Source organism: Homo sapiens, chromosome 3 (assembly GCF_000001405.40).
Source record: "Homo sapiens chromosome 3, GRCh38.p14 Primary Assembly".
NCBI classification, from domain to species: Eukaryota; Metazoa; Chordata; class Mammalia; order Primates; family Hominidae; genus Homo; species Homo sapiens.
This window is the reverse complement of record NC_000003.12, coordinates 110,910,874-110,928,393: the sequence shown is the minus strand read 5'-3', so window position 1 is coordinate 110,928,393 and position 17,520 is coordinate 110,910,874. Positions and strand designations below refer to the sequence as shown.

The 17,520-nt window shown below is 39.1% G+C and overlaps 1 long non-coding RNA gene across 4 annotated transcripts in view; it reads left to right on the top strand.

Moving 5' to 3' along the window:
- Positions 1-17,520, top strand: part of LOC151760 (putative uncharacterized protein) — a 183,623-nt gene that overhangs the window by 143,373 nt on the left and 22,730 nt on the right. The window contains exon 1 of one of the 4 annotated variants that reach the window (XR_001740844.2): positions 3,243-3,356. The exons of the other annotated variants lie outside the window; for them this stretch is intronic. This is a non-coding gene — a long non-coding RNA (putative uncharacterized protein LOC151760). Of the gene's footprint in view, positions 1-3,242; positions 3,357-17,520 lie in introns of those variants that run through there. 4 annotated transcript variants of the gene reach the window in all.

The window sequence follows — 17,520 nt, the reverse complement described above, 5'->3', positions numbered from 1 at the left end:
CTGTCATTACGTGACACATTACTGTGTTTTCTTTATTCATTTTGAGTTTATTGAGGTACCATATACTGCAATAGAAATCTGGGGAATGGATGATTCTTCTTTGAAACAAAGACACTATTGAAGTGATCTGATACATCAGTTCTGATTAGAACAAAGCAATCTTCAGTTCAAGTTGAGATATCCATTTACATAGGGCTTGTATTTACCAAAGCAAGACAAATACTTTTTACAGGTCAGTGTCCTTTGAGAATAGAATTTGGTACATTTTCAGCATAAACAATGTTAAGAACCTTTAGATTTCTATCTTACATTTACTGTGTCAATAGAAACCTAGTAAATTTCTGGATTTCTCTTGACTTGGCAGGGAAATATGGAAAACAATTTTGTTTGATATTTAATAGAGACGGTAAGGCATACAAACAACATACGTATTCTAGAAATAATAAAGTAATACTAAGGAACATACATTTAGAAAATTAGTCTCTGAAAAGGAAAAATTGGGTATTTGTTGAGTTATTATTTGTTAATATTTGATTATCATATATATAATGATTTTTAACATATAGTATATATTTGACTACAATAATCATATTATAACTAAATGTACATCTCGTGTATACTTAGTACATACTTGGTATAATCATAGCCTGAGAATAAATTGAGTCATGAGATAAAGTATTTTGAGAAGCCTGGAAATTAGGGCAAATTTGATGAAGTTTCCATGTAAGTTGAATTTATGGCAGCAGCTGAAGAGAAATTCATTTTTCTGGTATTTTTTAGTATAAATTTTGTATATGAAATGACTTCTTTCTCCCACCCCATTTTCTAAAATTTTATCAGTAGGTTAACGTGTGCCAATGATAGAATTTCAAGTGCTTTGAAGACTGTAAGAGCATGATGAATTTCAAGTACTTTGAAGACTATAAGAGCATGAGAGTAATCTATGGATTTGATTTCTTTAGGCTCTATTTTCCTATTCTTTTCTTTTCCCTCCTTCCTTTTCTTTCTTCAAGAAATATTTACATATTAAATATTAAAATATTCAATTTATTGTTCATCTGATTGTTAAAAACAACGCCAACCCCAACAATTTTAGCCATCTAGTGAGTATTGAGTATCTAACACATATGCCTTCAATATAGTGGAGTTTTCTTAAATCAAGATTGATCAGAGTGAGGAGGAGACATAGATGAACAATTGGGAGAGTGACTATGATTTATATTTTTCTAAGATATGAACTTTTTGTGTCTACATTTGCCACTTGAAATGTTTCCAGTCTCATCTTCTGTATCCACCCATGTGTTTGATGCTTCAACCTCATTAGATTTCAAATTTTGCAATGCACTTTTACTCCCCTGTTTCTTTATTCATGTTGATCTCTCTATCTCCGTCTATTGTATGTTTCTACATCTTGATGGATCAGTTCAAAGTTGTCTCCTTGGTATGATGGCATGGCATTCAACACAGAGAGGTCTGTACACAACTGTCTGTTGTAGTTCAGTTCAGCTATCTTGGGCAAGTTTTTAAATTCTTGTGAGCTTTAATTTTTAATCTGTAAATTGGGGATAAGACTATTAAGCAAGAAAAAATTATTTTCTTCTTCTTCCTCTTTAACCTCCTCCATTTGTGAAACTTTCTCTGATTACCCTAACCATTACCTCACAATCAAAATCCTTCCTATGTGTTACCATGCTTGCTTTGCCTCAATAATAAAAGTACTTTGTTTCATTTTAATTGGCTATTTACGTGTCCAGTTTTTTTTAATGAGCTCAAAGCCCCTTGAGGGCGAGGGTAATATTTTGCTCAGTGCATACCAGATATTCAATAAAAAACATGATGACATGTACTAAATCAGAGCTACATGATTTCTTTCCACTCTCCTCCCCATACCACCCAATTTTCTATATCCAGCATCATTTTTAGGCATTTTCTAGGATTGGAGCCTATAGAATCTATATGACACTAAAATGGTAACAGAGAGTAGCATAATCTCAGTTCAGTTTGTTTAGCTGGTAGTTTGTTTTGTTTTTGTTTGTATTTAGGATCAGAGAATTGAGTTATTCCTAGTGAATTTATTCTTACATGGTTGATACATTGTAGGATGCCTTGTTTTTTTTGTTTTTTTGTTGAGGTTTCTATCCTAAAATGGGTACATTGTTAGGGCAATGATGAGATAAGAAGTATGACTGGCCCTCTCCCTGTGTCTTACTTCATGGGGAACTCTAAACACTGCACAGCAGCAAAGCCTTCTTCCTCACTTTGACTTTGTAGTCCCCTGCCAGAAGTGCAGGGCAGGAGAAAAGTGTGTAGGTGATGAGTGTGTGTGTGTGTGTGTGTTTATTAGAGAGCAAGAGTGAGCTCGCATGCATGTGATTTAGGTGACGTTGGTGACAGAATATTTGGCATGCGTCTCCTACATCTGTTGGAAAGAGCCAGCCAAGCCACCTGTTGAATTTCAATTCCCCATTCCTCAGGGACGTGATACTTGCAGCAAAAGGTTTAAGATAGCAGAAATCCACAAGAATAAAGAAGTTATAGGTCACCCAGTTCTTTACCCCAGGGATCCCCATCAGACCATTCTCTACCATAAGCTCTTTAATACAATATAGAACATTTCTAAAACAGTGCACTCTTTGTCTAGCCTAGTTTAAAACATTCTAAGGGACAAAGGCTTCTAAAGGAGATGAATCCAGAAGTTCCATTGTTTACAAGGTCAAGAAGCGTGTCCCTGATTGTTAGCAGATAGAGTCACTTTTAAACCTTCCTGGTATTCTCCACCTCATTTCTTTTGTACATTGGGTCTTGAATGGAGAAGGCTGTGATTTGTCTTGGCCCATAAAATATCCTACAGGCTGTTTTAACACACTAAGGAAAGGTTTAATCTATTTCTATTAAAACCTGGAGAAGACCTTTCACCCCTTTCTAGGAGCTGCTAACTTTGGGATGTCTTCTCTCTTTCTCCCCCTCTCCGCCTTTCTGTCATCTGTTTTACCTTTCTTAGAGTCACTAGAGTCACTATAATCCTAAACCCCTGCCTCTATTAGCTTATTTTTGAAGTGTTAATCTTTCTTTTCCTTCCTTCCCTCCCTCCCCTCCCCTCCCCTACCCTACCCCTCCCTCCATCCCTCCCTCCCTTCCTTCCTTCCTTCCTTCTTGCTAAAAGTTTATAGTAAAAATATAAAAACTGCTTTCCCAGTTTTCTAATTCAGAGTCTTTATTTCTTTGTCACACAGAAATTCAGAGGTGAGCTGTTCCAACTCTTTCATTTTATAACAAAGGAAACTAATACCTAGAGTGAGAAAATAAGTTTGTAGGAAAAATCAGGAAGAATTAAAGTCTCCTTAAGCCTAGCCCAGGTAAGTACCAACAGTGGCCTTCCCAATATGCAGAGAGTATCTACCTCCAGCTCTGTCCACATCAAGGGAATAAGAATTCCCCCCAGGTGAGCACTGTGACTCACGACTGTAATCCCATCAATTTTGGGAGGCCAAGGCGGGCTGATCACTTGAGGCCAGGAGTTCAAGACCAGACTGGCCAACATGGTGAAATCCCATCTCTACAAAAAATACAAAAATTAGCCAGGCCATGGTGGCACACACCTGTAATCCCAGCTACTTGGGAGGCTGAGGCAGAAGAATTGCTTGAACCCGGGAGGCAGAGTGAGCTGAGATAGTGCCATTGCGCTCTAGCATGGGCAACAAAGCAGACTCCGTATCCAAAAAAAAAAAAACAAAAAAAAAGAATTCCCAGCCTCTGTGAGCAGTTCCCATGGAGTCTCAAAGACAATGTGGCAGCAGCTGCAGGAGTGCTGAACAGTCCTGTACTGGCCTCAGCCTATCTGGCTGTATATCAGGCTGCCTGCTCTGGGATGTTTCCTTACCAGGCTATGGAGATTTTTCTGGCTCATTTTAAGAGTGAGGTCCTATCCCCTACTTAGCTGTAGTACATACTTAGCTAATGTTAAACAGCTGTACCAATTTTAGCCTTTATTAAAACAAAGAATTTGTATTTAGCTTTTATAACAAGCCCTCCTAGCTCCTTCCATAGTGCAAGCAAGTAGCTTATATTACTTGTGGCTATCCATCAGGCTCTGGAACTTCATTAAAATATCTAGGCTATTACTGATCAGCTCCTAGCTTTAGGGCCAATTACTTCATCTTTTTAGGACTCAGGTTTCTCATCTCTAAAATGAAGAGGATAGTAGTACCTTTCTCATAGAATTGACTTGAGGATCAAATAAGCTACTAAGTAAAAAATGTCTGTTCAGAGTACTCAATAAACATTAGCTATATTGTTATTATTTTCACTCATTGCACCCTGAGTAAAAATGGGGTCATTTTGGTAGTTTTACCATATTTCACTGCTGTCACTGGTCATTGCCAGACTCTAGCCCTCTAAACACCTTTAATCACCCTTCTCAGGTATTTCTGAGAAGGCAACAAGGGTGACTGCCATGTGCTCATGAACAAGACTGATCATAAGCTGTGTGATGTATTCTGGGCGCCGCCGGTGCATTTACACGGCATTGCGACCTCCTCTGGGTGCAGGTGTTGCTGACTGCTCACATTAGTCTCTCCCGCACTGCTGCCTCTTCTGCTGGGGACTAATTTTTCCATTTTGGGAGCTATCCTTTATTAGAGGTTCTTTCAAAGTAGTAGTAACTTGCACCCCAATGTTGTTTAATTTTTACTCACAGCCTTCTGTCTTCTTCGGACCCAGATATAAGTCCCTGGGGAGATGGCATGACAGAAACCATGTTGATTTTGTCAGCTGAGGCTTTGGGCCTGATTCCTTCTTTGCTTAGAAAGAATTATCTTCCAAGAGGTTCCAGACTGCCTCGGGCAGATAGACTAGCACCCAGATCTCTTGTCCACAGCATCTCCAAAGTATGTTTGAATCTCAGCTGTGAAACCCCTACTATGCCCTTTTAATGTGACATAGCAGAATTCATATCAATAATACTCATCTAAGCTAAAGAAGATGTTAACCCATTTAAGAGGAGGACTATAAGCCACAGTGTATGTGACCAGCAACCATCTGAGCCACTGTTAAAACTTCTTTTAGGCATTAAAACCTGCCACATGGGAAAGCTATGGGACTTAGCTTTTTGATTTTAACAGCAAAATCCTATATCTGTCTCAAAATGGCTGGCTGAAAACTCCAGTCTGCCTAAGTCCTGTCAGTATTTAAATTAATGATATTGGTTTTCATTTTTTGCTTCAACTTTCACCATCCCTTAGAGCTGTCACTTAGCAATGGGCTAGGTGTGGAAGATGCCAGGGATAACAAGGAAGTGATTTGTCAGCTTAAGGGATGTCACTGGTCATCAAATAGTCTTTTTTTCCGTGGTATGAGCTGCAAAATCCATTTGAGTCACAAAGTCAGATTGTGACACTTGGCACATCTGTAGACACTGAACATTTATGCCAATTACAGACTCTGTACATGGAGACGAACAGAACTCCACCATGAGGCCCTGAAAAGAGAGCTTTATGTTAAGTAACAACTAAAATAGGAGCTAAATTTGACCTGACTAGTTCCAATCTGCTGCCATCACTCTATTTCATTTAAGGTCATGGAAACAAATCTCATGAAGGGTTGGGTTTCCCAAAATAAGTTAAATGGAACTTTATGAGGCAGAAATAGTAATATTTATATACAGTATATTTATATACAATATAGAAGTTATACTCAATATTAAGAGTATAAATATATATGTATTAAGAAGAGTCAAAAATTAGCCAGGCATGGTGGTGGGCACCTGTAGTCCCAGCTACTTGGGAGGCTGAGGCAGAATGGTGTGAACCCGAGAGGCAGAGCTTGCAGTGAGCCGAGATCGAGCCACTGCACTCCAGCCTGGGCAACAGAGCCAGACTCCATCTCAAAAAATAAAAAAGAATTAACAACATGCATGATGTAGTTCCTATTCTCAAGTTTCTGCAGTCTAGTTCAAATAAAGATATATACGTGGAAAATAAACTGGTAATTCCATGAAATAATTTTGTGCTAAATAAGTGGAATAGACACCTTGCATTTACAATGGACTGTCTATTTTATTTGGCGTGGTCAGAGCATTTTCCTATAGGAAATATGATCTAAGTTGAACTTTGAAAGATGGGAGAGGAATGAGTTTAGGAGAACAGAGGTGGAAGGGGAGATAGAAATGCAGGTTGGGGCTCCATTGTGGGTTTTCTTGAATACTAGGCTAATGATTTAATACATTCTTGAATAGTCAAAAAGAGCTCCATTGAAACTGATATACATGGTGTTTGGTGAGTCAGTTTTGGGATTGTATGGTATGGATCAAGGAGGTAAGACTGAAGATAGGCAAGCTTAAGAAGAGCCTTGGTATATTGTGTGAGGTGATCATTAGTAGAATTTATGGTGGCTAATATTTAATCTAGAAAGAAAAGTCACCTCAAGAATGTGGGGTAATTAAATAAGTAAAAAGTCACAGGCCTTGGTGTGTATATAAATATGAAAGAAGAAGGAGAAAGATAAGTGACCTCAGTGTTTTAAGCTTGGATTGAATGAGAGCATAGTGGGACCAATAAGAGAAGTGGCAAAATAGGAGGGGAAAATGGTATTTGCTTGGATTATTGCTAATACTTCCAAAGTGTCCTTTTTTTTCTTTTTTGAAATAAGAAACAAACCTTTTTAAGTTGGCAAGTTAAACTTTAATTCCAATCAAATTGCCGCCTATGGAAAGCAATTAAAATTACATATGGGAGGGTGGGTTATACAATGTAAAATATATAGAAAGATAAAGTATTAAGTGTACTAACAACATCATTGACTGATCTTCACTTAGAATTTCTTAGAAATTATTCTCTGAAAATGTAATGTTTATATTGTACTGCATTCATTTTTCTCTAATAAATCAGTACTCTCCCTAGGGGATTGATTTTAAGAGATTAAGTAGCTAACGCCTTAAATGAACAGGGCTGCAGCTATTTATTATTTTCTTTACTAAGAGATTTTCATAATAGCATTTGAAATTTGAGATTGATAATACTAGCTGATTTCTTCTATATTGCCAAACTGATCTTGAATCAGATGGGACTGAGTTTGAATGCTTGCCTTTCACTTAATGATTGTGTGATCTTTTGTCAAAGCATGACATGGTGAAGATAAGAATAAGACATGATGAAGGTTAATATGTGTGAAGTGCTTGCTGCTGTGTCTGGCATACAGTAAGCTTGGAATAAATGTTAAATGATGTATTTTTGCATAGATTCACTAGCATTTATGAACCTCAGAACCAAATGGGGACATATCTCTTTAAATATTCAATTCAGCTTGACCTGGAGCAGCCATCTTAGCATTATAAGGATACCACTGTTCTAGCAGAGCTCAATAATCCAGAGGCTATCTCAGATTCCGTGGGTAATTGAGATTATAACCAAATTCCATCAAGAGGAAATCAGTTGATTGGTTGTCTGCAGTCTCTGGCTTCACTGGGTAGGTGTTGGCTGTTGAAAATGGTGCTGCTTTCTCACTGTGCCCTGCTGAGATTCCAAAGGTGTAGGTCTGAGTAGGGAGACGAAGCCTTCTGAGCAGTGGTCACCTCAGCCATGGTTACCCCTTGCCAGCAGACAGTGGACCCAATATCATGCAGCCACATACATACACACACTCTCAACACATATGTGCTCACACAGCTTACTTATTTATTTTCTTTTTGTGGCAAACCCACTGTGTCAAGGTGGTTGGTTCAGGAAAGTTTTCCATGGAAGAAAACCATGCCTAAGAAAACCCAGGCGTAATCTGCAGCCTGACTCTGTAGTCCAGAATCTATTCTTTGTGGTAAGTTTTTCAGGGGATTCTAAACTTCCAGCTAACCTCAGCCATATCATCCTCAGTCAGCTAAAGGTGTTTCAATAATCTGCAACATCAAAGGAAACAGGGGTGAGGTTTTCTATTACTTTCTTTCCAGAAATCATCTTAGAAATTTGTCCATCCCCCTCATAGCATTCTTAGAATTTCATATTCTAAGGGATTTAGAGTGGAGCAGCTTCAGTCGCAGGGGAAAAATTAAAAAGAAGCCTAATACACTTTTGCCCCAGAACAATGGATGCCTATTTGTCTTACATCCACTTAATTAAAAATGGTTCTTCCCACAGTGAAGTGATGTCTACACTGGTAAAACTCAAAGTATTTGGCAGTTTTTAAAATGCATAATTTCTCATTAGAAGACTTCAAGTTCTGCCTCAATAGCCATCCATCTACACTATTATTTTTATTCTTGTTTTCATTTCAAAATTGAGGAGTTTAAAAAGTCCCTTGAGAAGACAACCTGAGATAAAGTGGCAAATCTGATTCTTTTAAAATCCTGTACTCTAGTCAATTACCATTCTGACTTTGGTCTATCATACACAGGAAGATACTTTAGCCTCCTAATGAGGTTTCTCAAATGATATATTGAATTTTAGGTTCATGTCACATGACCACAGTTATCTTTTTTTTTTTTCAATTAAAAATTTCTTGGTAGTTTGTTCCTTTAAAAAAGTCTTTGGAAATTCTCACTTCTCATGGTTCACATGAAATCCAGATAACTTCTTGCGACCTGTGGCTTTAATAAAGGAAAAAAAAAACCGAGTTGTTACAGTATGATCACTGTGTTAGTTTGACATCCACTTCAAAGAAAATAGCTCTCTAAGCAAGGCTGTCCTTAAAGCTGCAGACAGACTTGTCAGTAACTTGGAGCTGGAAAAACTTGATTTCTAGAACAGTGATCAGACTGTCAGGACAATGCTGCTTCCATGAGAATCAAGACAAGCCCACCCGTCTGATTTTTTTCCAGACATAACTAAGAACACCAAAGGTGAGCCAACAAACCAAGTGAAAGACATCAAACAATTGCCTCACTATTTCCCTTGAGGGATTTTGTCCTAAAGACTAAGAAAACCTTCTTAAATTAGCTCTAATTAAATGCTTTGAATGTATGGTTCCACCATTCAGAAAATGGATTGCCTCCTTGTGTTTTTTCCATGTTACTAAGAGAGAGATTGGGATTCTTTAAAGGAAGATTAAAAGCACGGAAGGGACAAAAGGAAATGGGGTGAAAACAGAAAAAAAAACAAGTCCAAGTCTATTCTAGATACTCCATGGATAGATGGTGGCCATAGGTAATCATTCGGTATGTTTTGACAGAATTGGTTTATGCGATCACTCTAGTGGTGTGCTAGCCATATTGATTATGGGGTGATACATACTCATTAGTAGGATGACTAACAGTGTTTTCAAACCACGCTGGCTGACTGCATATACAGACAAGATCAAGTTATTCTGTGTAGACTATTCCTCAGGGAGTGTTGGGGGAAGTAAGGGTAGGGGGACTCAGCAGGCACTCTGCTGTTAAGTTATCCTGACAATAGGGTTATTTTAAAATGTATTGTGAAGTGTTTCTACACAGAGGAAATGTTTTGTGGAAGGAATTCATGATATTATACAAGTATGTTTCTTTAATTGGAAACCAGACACACTCTACTAAACATTTTATTGGAATATTTATTTCACACTTCACAAAGGATCCCGAGAGAAATGCTTTGTGATTAACTGTGATTGTCCATATATGAAAAATGAGGGCAGGATAAGAATAAATATGCAATTAATAGGGCAGGCCTCCGATTCTCTATTTGTTTTCTGACATTTCCAGCAGTATCTTCTCGCAAAGATGAAAATATTAAGCAGGGCATCTAACACCAAATCTTGTCAGATTGATCTTATTATCCTTTATTGTTGTTTTAATCTTTAATACAATTTGGCTGTAAATTGAAAGCTCTGTATACCATTATAATCTTGCAAGCTGATTCACTTGATTGAAGGGAAAAATGAGACACAAAACCCATGCTGCTTTTATGTTCTTAGACAACACTCCTTACCCACTTGCAGACTAGTAGCTTTTCTTTAGTTTTAATTTGAGGTTTTTTTTTTTTGTTTGTTTGTTTGGCTGGTTTGTTTCTTTTTAATGGATAGATCCTTTAAACTATGCCAGTATAGTCTCTGGATGAGCAGCATGGGCATCACCTGGACACTTGTTAGCAATGCAAATTTTCAGGTGAATTCTTGACCTATTGAGTCAGAAACTCTGTGCTGGGGGTCCAGTGATCTCTGTTTAACAAGCCCTCCAAAATGATTCTGAAGCCCACTAAAGTTTGAGAACCACTGTCAGACTCCTTCCTCTCATTGTTTTGCATCTGGAAGCACACCATGCGTAGAATACAGTTATAACTTAACGCAAAATGTAGTTCACTGCCTTTAACTAAACCTGATGGCTTTGTAGTTTTGTTAGCACAATGCTGCAAACAGCTGGGCTACATATACATCAACAAAGGACATAAGTGAGTTTCCTCCCACTTTCCCTTTTTTTTGGGAGGAAGCATGGTATTTAAAGGCAGACAAATCTAATTTCAAGTTCTGATGCATCTCAATAGGTGGGTGATTTAACCCCTCTAGCTCTTGTGTTCTTTACCTATAAACATATATTCTTTGAGGTGTTGTTCTGAGTATGGAATGAGATCAGGCCTAATACTAGCTCACAAAGTGAATTAGAAAAAAGTGCCCTCTCTGGGGGAGCCAATTAGGAAAAAGCATTCATTTGTTAGGGCTAACATTGCCCATGTCTCTTATCAGACTTGGCAAAGAGAACCCTAACTGGATTTCAGCCCTGACTTCTGCCTGCTCATCTGGACAGTTTTGTCCAAGGCAAGATTGTATGCAGAGTTCTTGATTGAAATAATGTATGTAAAGCAGTTGGCATATAGCAGTTGCTTTTCATACAGTATATTACATACATAACACATATTCCACATAAATATTTTTTCTTAGATGTATCAATTATAGTCCAGGGAGAGTAACATATGTAATCACTTGGTTATCAGTAAAGATGCTTAGATTACCTCCTATAGTAAGATTAAAAATAGTTATTTTAGGGGAGGAGCCATGATGGCCGCATAGGAACAGCTCCCGTCTACAGCTCCCAGCATGAGCGACGCAGAAGGTGATTTCTGGATTTCCATCTGAGGTACCGGGTTCATCTCACTAGGGAGTGCCAGACAGTGGGCGCAGGTCAGTGGGTGCGTGCACCATGCACGAGCTGAAGCAGGGCGAGGCATTGCCTCCCTCCAGAAGTGCAAGGGGTCAGGGAGTTCCCTTTCCTAGTCAAAGGAAGGGATGACAGACGGCACCTGGAAAATAGGGTCACTCCCACCCAAATACTGAGCTTTTCCCATGGGCTTAAAAAACGGGGCACCAGGAGATTATATCCCGCACGTGGCTCGGAGGGTCCTACGCCCACGGAGTCTCACTGATTGCTAGCGCAGCAGTCTGAGCTCAAACTACAACGTGGCAGCGAGGCTGGGGGAGGGGTGCCCGCCATTGCCCAGGCTTGCTTAGGTAAACAAAGCAGCCGGGAAGCTCGAACTGGGTGGAGCCCACCACAGCTCAAGGAGGCCTGCCTGCCTCTGTAGGCTCCACCTCTGGGGGCAGGGCACAGGCAAACAAAAAGACAGCAGGAACCTCCGCAGACTTAAATGTCCCTGTCTGACAGCTTTGAAGAGAGCAGTGGTTCTCCCAGTACGCAACTGGAGATCTGAGAACGGGCAGACTGCCTCCTCAAGTGGGTCCCTGACCCCTGACCCCCGAGCAGCCTAACCCCCGAGGCACCCCCAGCAGGGGCAGACTGACACCTCACAGGGCCGGGTACTCCAACAGACCTGCCGCTGAGGGTCCTGTCTGTTAGAAGGAAAACTAACAAACAGAAAGGACATCCACACCAAAAACCCATCTGTACATCACCGTCATCAAAGAACAAAAGTAGATAAAACCACAAAGATGGAGAAAAAACAGAGCAGAAAAACTGGAAACTCTAAAAAGCAGAGCGCCTCTCCTCCTCCAAAGGAACGCAGTTCCTCACCAGCACTGGAACAAAGCTGGACGGAGAATGACTTTGACGAGCTGAGAGACGAAGGCTTCAGACGATCAAATTACTCTGAGCTACGGGAGGACATTCAAACCAAAGGCAAAGAAGTTGAAAACTTTGAAAAAAATTTAGAAGAATGTATAACTAGAATAACCAATACAGAGAAGTGCTTAAAGGAGCTGATGGAGCTGAAAACCAAGGCTCGAGAACTACATAAAGAATGAAGAAGCCTCAGGAGCCGATGCGATCAACTGGAAGAAAGGGTATCAGCGATGGAAGAGGAAATGAATGAAATGAAGCGAGAAGGGAAGTTTAGAGAAAAAAGAATAAAAAGAAATGAACAAAGCCTCCAAGAAATATGGGACTATGTGAAAAGACCAAATCTACATCTGATTGGTGTACCTGAAAGTGACGGGGAGAATGGAACCAAGTTGGAAAACACTCTGCAGGATATCATCCAGGAGAACTTCCCCAGTCTAGCAAGGCAGGCCAACATTCAGATTCAGGAAATACAGAGAATGCCACAAAGATACTCCTCGAGAAGAGCAACTCCAAGACACACAATTGTCAGATTCACCAAAGTTGAAATGAAGGAAAAATGTTAAGGGCAGCCAGAGAGAAGGGTCGGGTTACCCTCAAAGGGAAGCCAATCAGACTAACAGCAGATCTCTCGGCAGAAACTCTACAAGCCAGAAGAGAGTGTGGGCCAATATTCAACATTCTTAAAGAAAAGAATTTTCAACCCAGAATTTCATATCCAGCCAAACTAAGCTTCATAAGTGAAGGAGAAATAAAATACTTTACAGACAAGCAAATGCTGAGAGATTTTGTCACCACCAAGCCTGCCCTAAAAGAGCCCCTGAAGGAAGTGCTAAACATGGAAAGGCACAACTGGTACAAGCCACTGCAAAATCATGCCAAAATGTAAAGACCATCGAGACTAGGAAGAAACTGCATCAACTAACGAGCAAAATCACCAGCTAACATCATAATGACAGGATCAAATTCACACATAACAATACTAACTTTAAATGTAAATGGACTAAATGCTCCAATTAAAAGACACAGACTGGCATATTGGATAAAGAGTCAAGACCCATCAGTGTGCTGTATTCAGGAAATCCATCTCATGTGCAGAGACACACATAGGCTCAAAATAAAAGGATGGAGGAAGATCTACCAAGCAAATGGAAAACAAAAAAAGGCAGGGGTTGCAATCCTAGTCTCTGATAAAACAGACTGTAAACCAACAAAGATCAAAAGAGACAAAGAAGGCCATTACATAATGGTAAAGGGATCAATTCAACAAGAAGAGCTAACTGTCCTAAATATATATGCACCCAATACAGGAGCACCCAGATTCATAAAGCAAGTCCTGAGTGACCTACAAAGAGACTTAGACTCCCACACATTAATAATGGGAGACTTTAACACCCCACTGTCAACATTAGACAGATCAACGAGACAGAAAGTCAACAAGGATACCCAGGAATTGAACTCAGCTCTGCACCAAGTGGACCTAATAGACATCTACAGAACTCTCCACCCCAAATCAACAGAATATACATTTTTTTCAGCACCACACCACACCTCTTCCAAAATTGACCACGTACTTGGAAGTAAAGCTCTCCTCAGCAAATGTAAAAGAACAGAAATTATAACAAACTATCTCTCAGACCACAGTGCAATCAAACTAGAACTCAGGATTAAGAATCTCACTCAAAACCGCCCAACTACATGGAAACTGAACAACCTGCTCCTGAATGACTACTGGGTACATATCGAAATGAAGGCAGAAATAAAGATGTTCTTTGAAACCAACGAGAACAAAGACACAACATACCAGAATCTCTGGGACGCATTCAAAGCAGTGTGTAGAGGGAAATTTATAGCACTAAATGCCCACAAGAGAAAGCAGGAAAGATCCAAAATTGACAACCTAACATCACAATTAAAAGAACTAGAAAAGCAAGAGCAAACACATTCAAAAGCTAGCAGAAGGCAAGAAATAACTAAAATCAGAGCAGAACTGAAGGAAATAGAGACACAAAAAACCCTTCAAAAAATTAATGAATCCAGGAGCTAGTTTTTTGAAAGGATCAACAAAACTGATAAACCACTAGCAAGACTAATAAAGAAAAAAAGAGAGAAGAATGAAATAGATGCAGTAAAAAATGATAAAGAGGATATCACCACCGATCCCACAGAAATACAAACTACCATCAGAGAATACTACAAACACCTCTACACAAACAAACTAGAAAATCTAGAAGAAATGGATAAATTCCTCAACACATACACTCTCCCAAGACTAAACCAGGAAGAAGTTGAATCTCTAAACAGACCAATAACAGGCTCTGAAATTGTGGCAATAATCAATAGCTTACCAACCAAAAAGAGTCCAGGACCAGATGGATTCACAGTCGAATTCTACCAGAGGTACAAGGAGGAACCGGTACCATTCCTTCTGAAACTATTCCAATCAATAGAAAAAGAGGGAATCCTCTGTAACTCATTTTATGAGGCCAGCATCATCCTGATACCAAAGATGGGCAGAAACACAACCAAAAAAGAGAATTTTAGACCAATATCCTTGATGAACATTGATACAAAAATTCTCAATAAAATACTGGCAAACCGAATCCAGCAGCACATCAAAAAGCTTATCCACCATGATCAAGTGGGCTTCATCCCTGGGATGCAAGGATGGTTCAATATACGCAAATCAATAAATGTAATCCAGCATATAAACAGAACCAAAGACAAAAACCACATGATTATCTCAATAGATGCAGAAGAGGCCTTTGGCAAAATTCAACAACACTTCATGCTAAAAACTCTCAATAAATTAGGTGTTGATGGGACGTATTTCAAAATAATAAGAGCTATCTATGACAAACCCACAGCCAATATCATACTGAATGGGCAAAAACTGGAAGCATACCCTTTGAAAACTGGCACAAGACAGGGATGCCCTCTCTCACCACTCCTATTCAACATAGTGTTGGAAGTTCTGGCCAGGGCAATTAGGCAGGAGAAGGAAATAAAGGGTATTCAATTAGGAAAAGAGGAAGTCAAATTTTCCCTGTTTGCAGACGACATGATTGTATATCTAGAAAACCCCATTGTCTCAGCCCAAAATCTCCTTAAGCTCATAAGCAACTTCAGCAAAGTCTCAGGATACAAAATCAATGTACAAAAATCACAAGCATTCTTATACACCAACAACACACAAACAGAGAGCCAAATCATGAGTGAACTCCCATTCACAATTGCTTCAAAGAGAATAAAATACCTAGGAATCCAACTTACAAGGGATGTGAAGGACCTCTTCAAGGAGAACTACAGACCACTTCTCAAGGAAATAAAAGAGGATACAAACAAATGGAAGAACATTCCATGCTCATGGGTAGGAAGAATCAATATTGTGAAAATGGCCATACTGCCCAAGGTAATTTACAGATTCAATGCCATCCCCATCAAGCTACCAATGACTTTCTTCACAGAATTGGAAAAAACTACTTTAAAGTTCATATGGAACTGAAAAAGAGCCCGCATTGCCAAGTCAATCCTAAGCCAAAAGAACAAAGCTGGAGGCATCACACTACCTGACTTCAAACTATACTACAAGGCTACAGTAACCAAAACAGCATGGTACTGGTACCAAAACAGAGATATAGATCAATGGAATAGAACAGAGCCCTCAGAAATAACGCCGCATATCTACAACTATCTGATCTTTCACAAACCTGAGAAAAACAAGCATTGGGGAAAGGATTCCCTATTTAATAAATGGTGCTGGGAAAACTGGCTAGCCATATGTAGAAAGCTGAAACTGGATCCCTTCCTTACACCTTATACAAAAATCAATTCAAGATGGATTAAAGACTTAAACGTTAGACCTAAAACCATAAAAACCTTAGAAGAAAACCTAGGCATTACCATTCAGGACATAGGCATGGGCAAGGACTTCATGTCTAAAACACCAAAAGCAATGGCAATAAAAGCCAAAATTGACAAATGGGATCTAATTAAACTAAAGAGCTTCTGCACAGCAAAAGAAACTACCATCAGAGTGAACAGGCAACCTACAAAATGGGAGAAAATTTTCACAACCTACTCATCTGACAAAGGGCTAATATCCAGAATCTACAATGAACTCAAACAAATTTACAAGAAAAAAACAACCCCATCAAAAAGTCGGCAAAGGACACGAACAGACACTTCTCAAAAGAAGACATTTATGCAGCCAAAAAACACATGAAAAAATGCTCACCATCACTGGCCATCAGAGAAATGCAAATCAAAACCACAATGAGATACCATCTCACACCAGTTAGAATGGCAATCATTAAAAAGTCAGGAAACAACAGGTGCTGGAGAGGATGTGGAGAAATAGGAACACTTTTACACTGTTGGTGGGACTGTAAACTAGTTCAACCATTGTGGAAGTCAGTGTGGCGATTCCTCAGGGATCTAGAACTAGAAATACCATTTGACCCAGCCATCCCATTACTGGGTATATAACCATAGGACTATAAATCATGCTGCTATAAAGACACATGTACACATATGTTTATTGTGGCATTATTCACAATAGCAAAGACTTGGAACCAACCCAAATGTCCAACAATGATAGACTGGATTAAGAAAATGTGGCACATATACAGCATGGAATACTATGCAGCCATAAAAAAGGATGAGTTCATGTCCTTTGTAGGGACATGGATGAGATTGGACATCATCATTCTCAGTAAACTATCACAAGAACAAAAAACCAAACAACGCATATTCTCACTTATAGGTGGGAATTGAACAATGAGAACACATGGACACAGGAAGGGGAACATCACACTCTGGGGACTGTTGTGGGGTGGGGGGAGGGGGGAGGGATAGCACTGGGAGATATACCTAATGCTAGATGACGAGTTACTGGGTGCAGCACACCAGCATGGCACATGTATACATATGTAACTAACTTGCACATTGTGCACATGTACCCTAAAACTTAAAGTATAACAATAATAGATAAAAATTTTAAAAAATAGTTATTTTATTCCTCAATTCTCTGACTCATGGATCAAATGAAGAATTTAATTGAAAACATTTAATTTTATCCTTCATGCAGTGTAGATATGGTCTCTACCTGGATCTTTAAAAAATAGAGAGATCTGAAAGAAAACTGCTTGCACTTTTGCTACCCAGGTACTACCCATGATGACTAGCTAATTAAATAATTTAAATGGGAAACTGGTATTTCAAAATAATAAGACTTAGATACATATGAAATAAGGAGAGTAAGTTCTCTGACATGATATTTTCTAGGTGCTAAAGCCTAATTTCAAATCCTTTCTTGAGGGCAGGGGTCAATAGGGAGAAAAGCCTGTATTTCTGCAAAAGAGGATAACAGAGATCCAAGAATGGGACAAGTGAAGCTTTCTGCTTCATCACAAGATTACTGAGGATTAATTCCTCTTAGAGTTTTGTATTTAAGAACTTGAGTGTTGTTATCCTAGGAAAGACACATAACCCACTGTAACATTTAGTTGTCTTAGATTTTGGTATTCACTTTAGCACGACTCATTATCAGTTCCCTG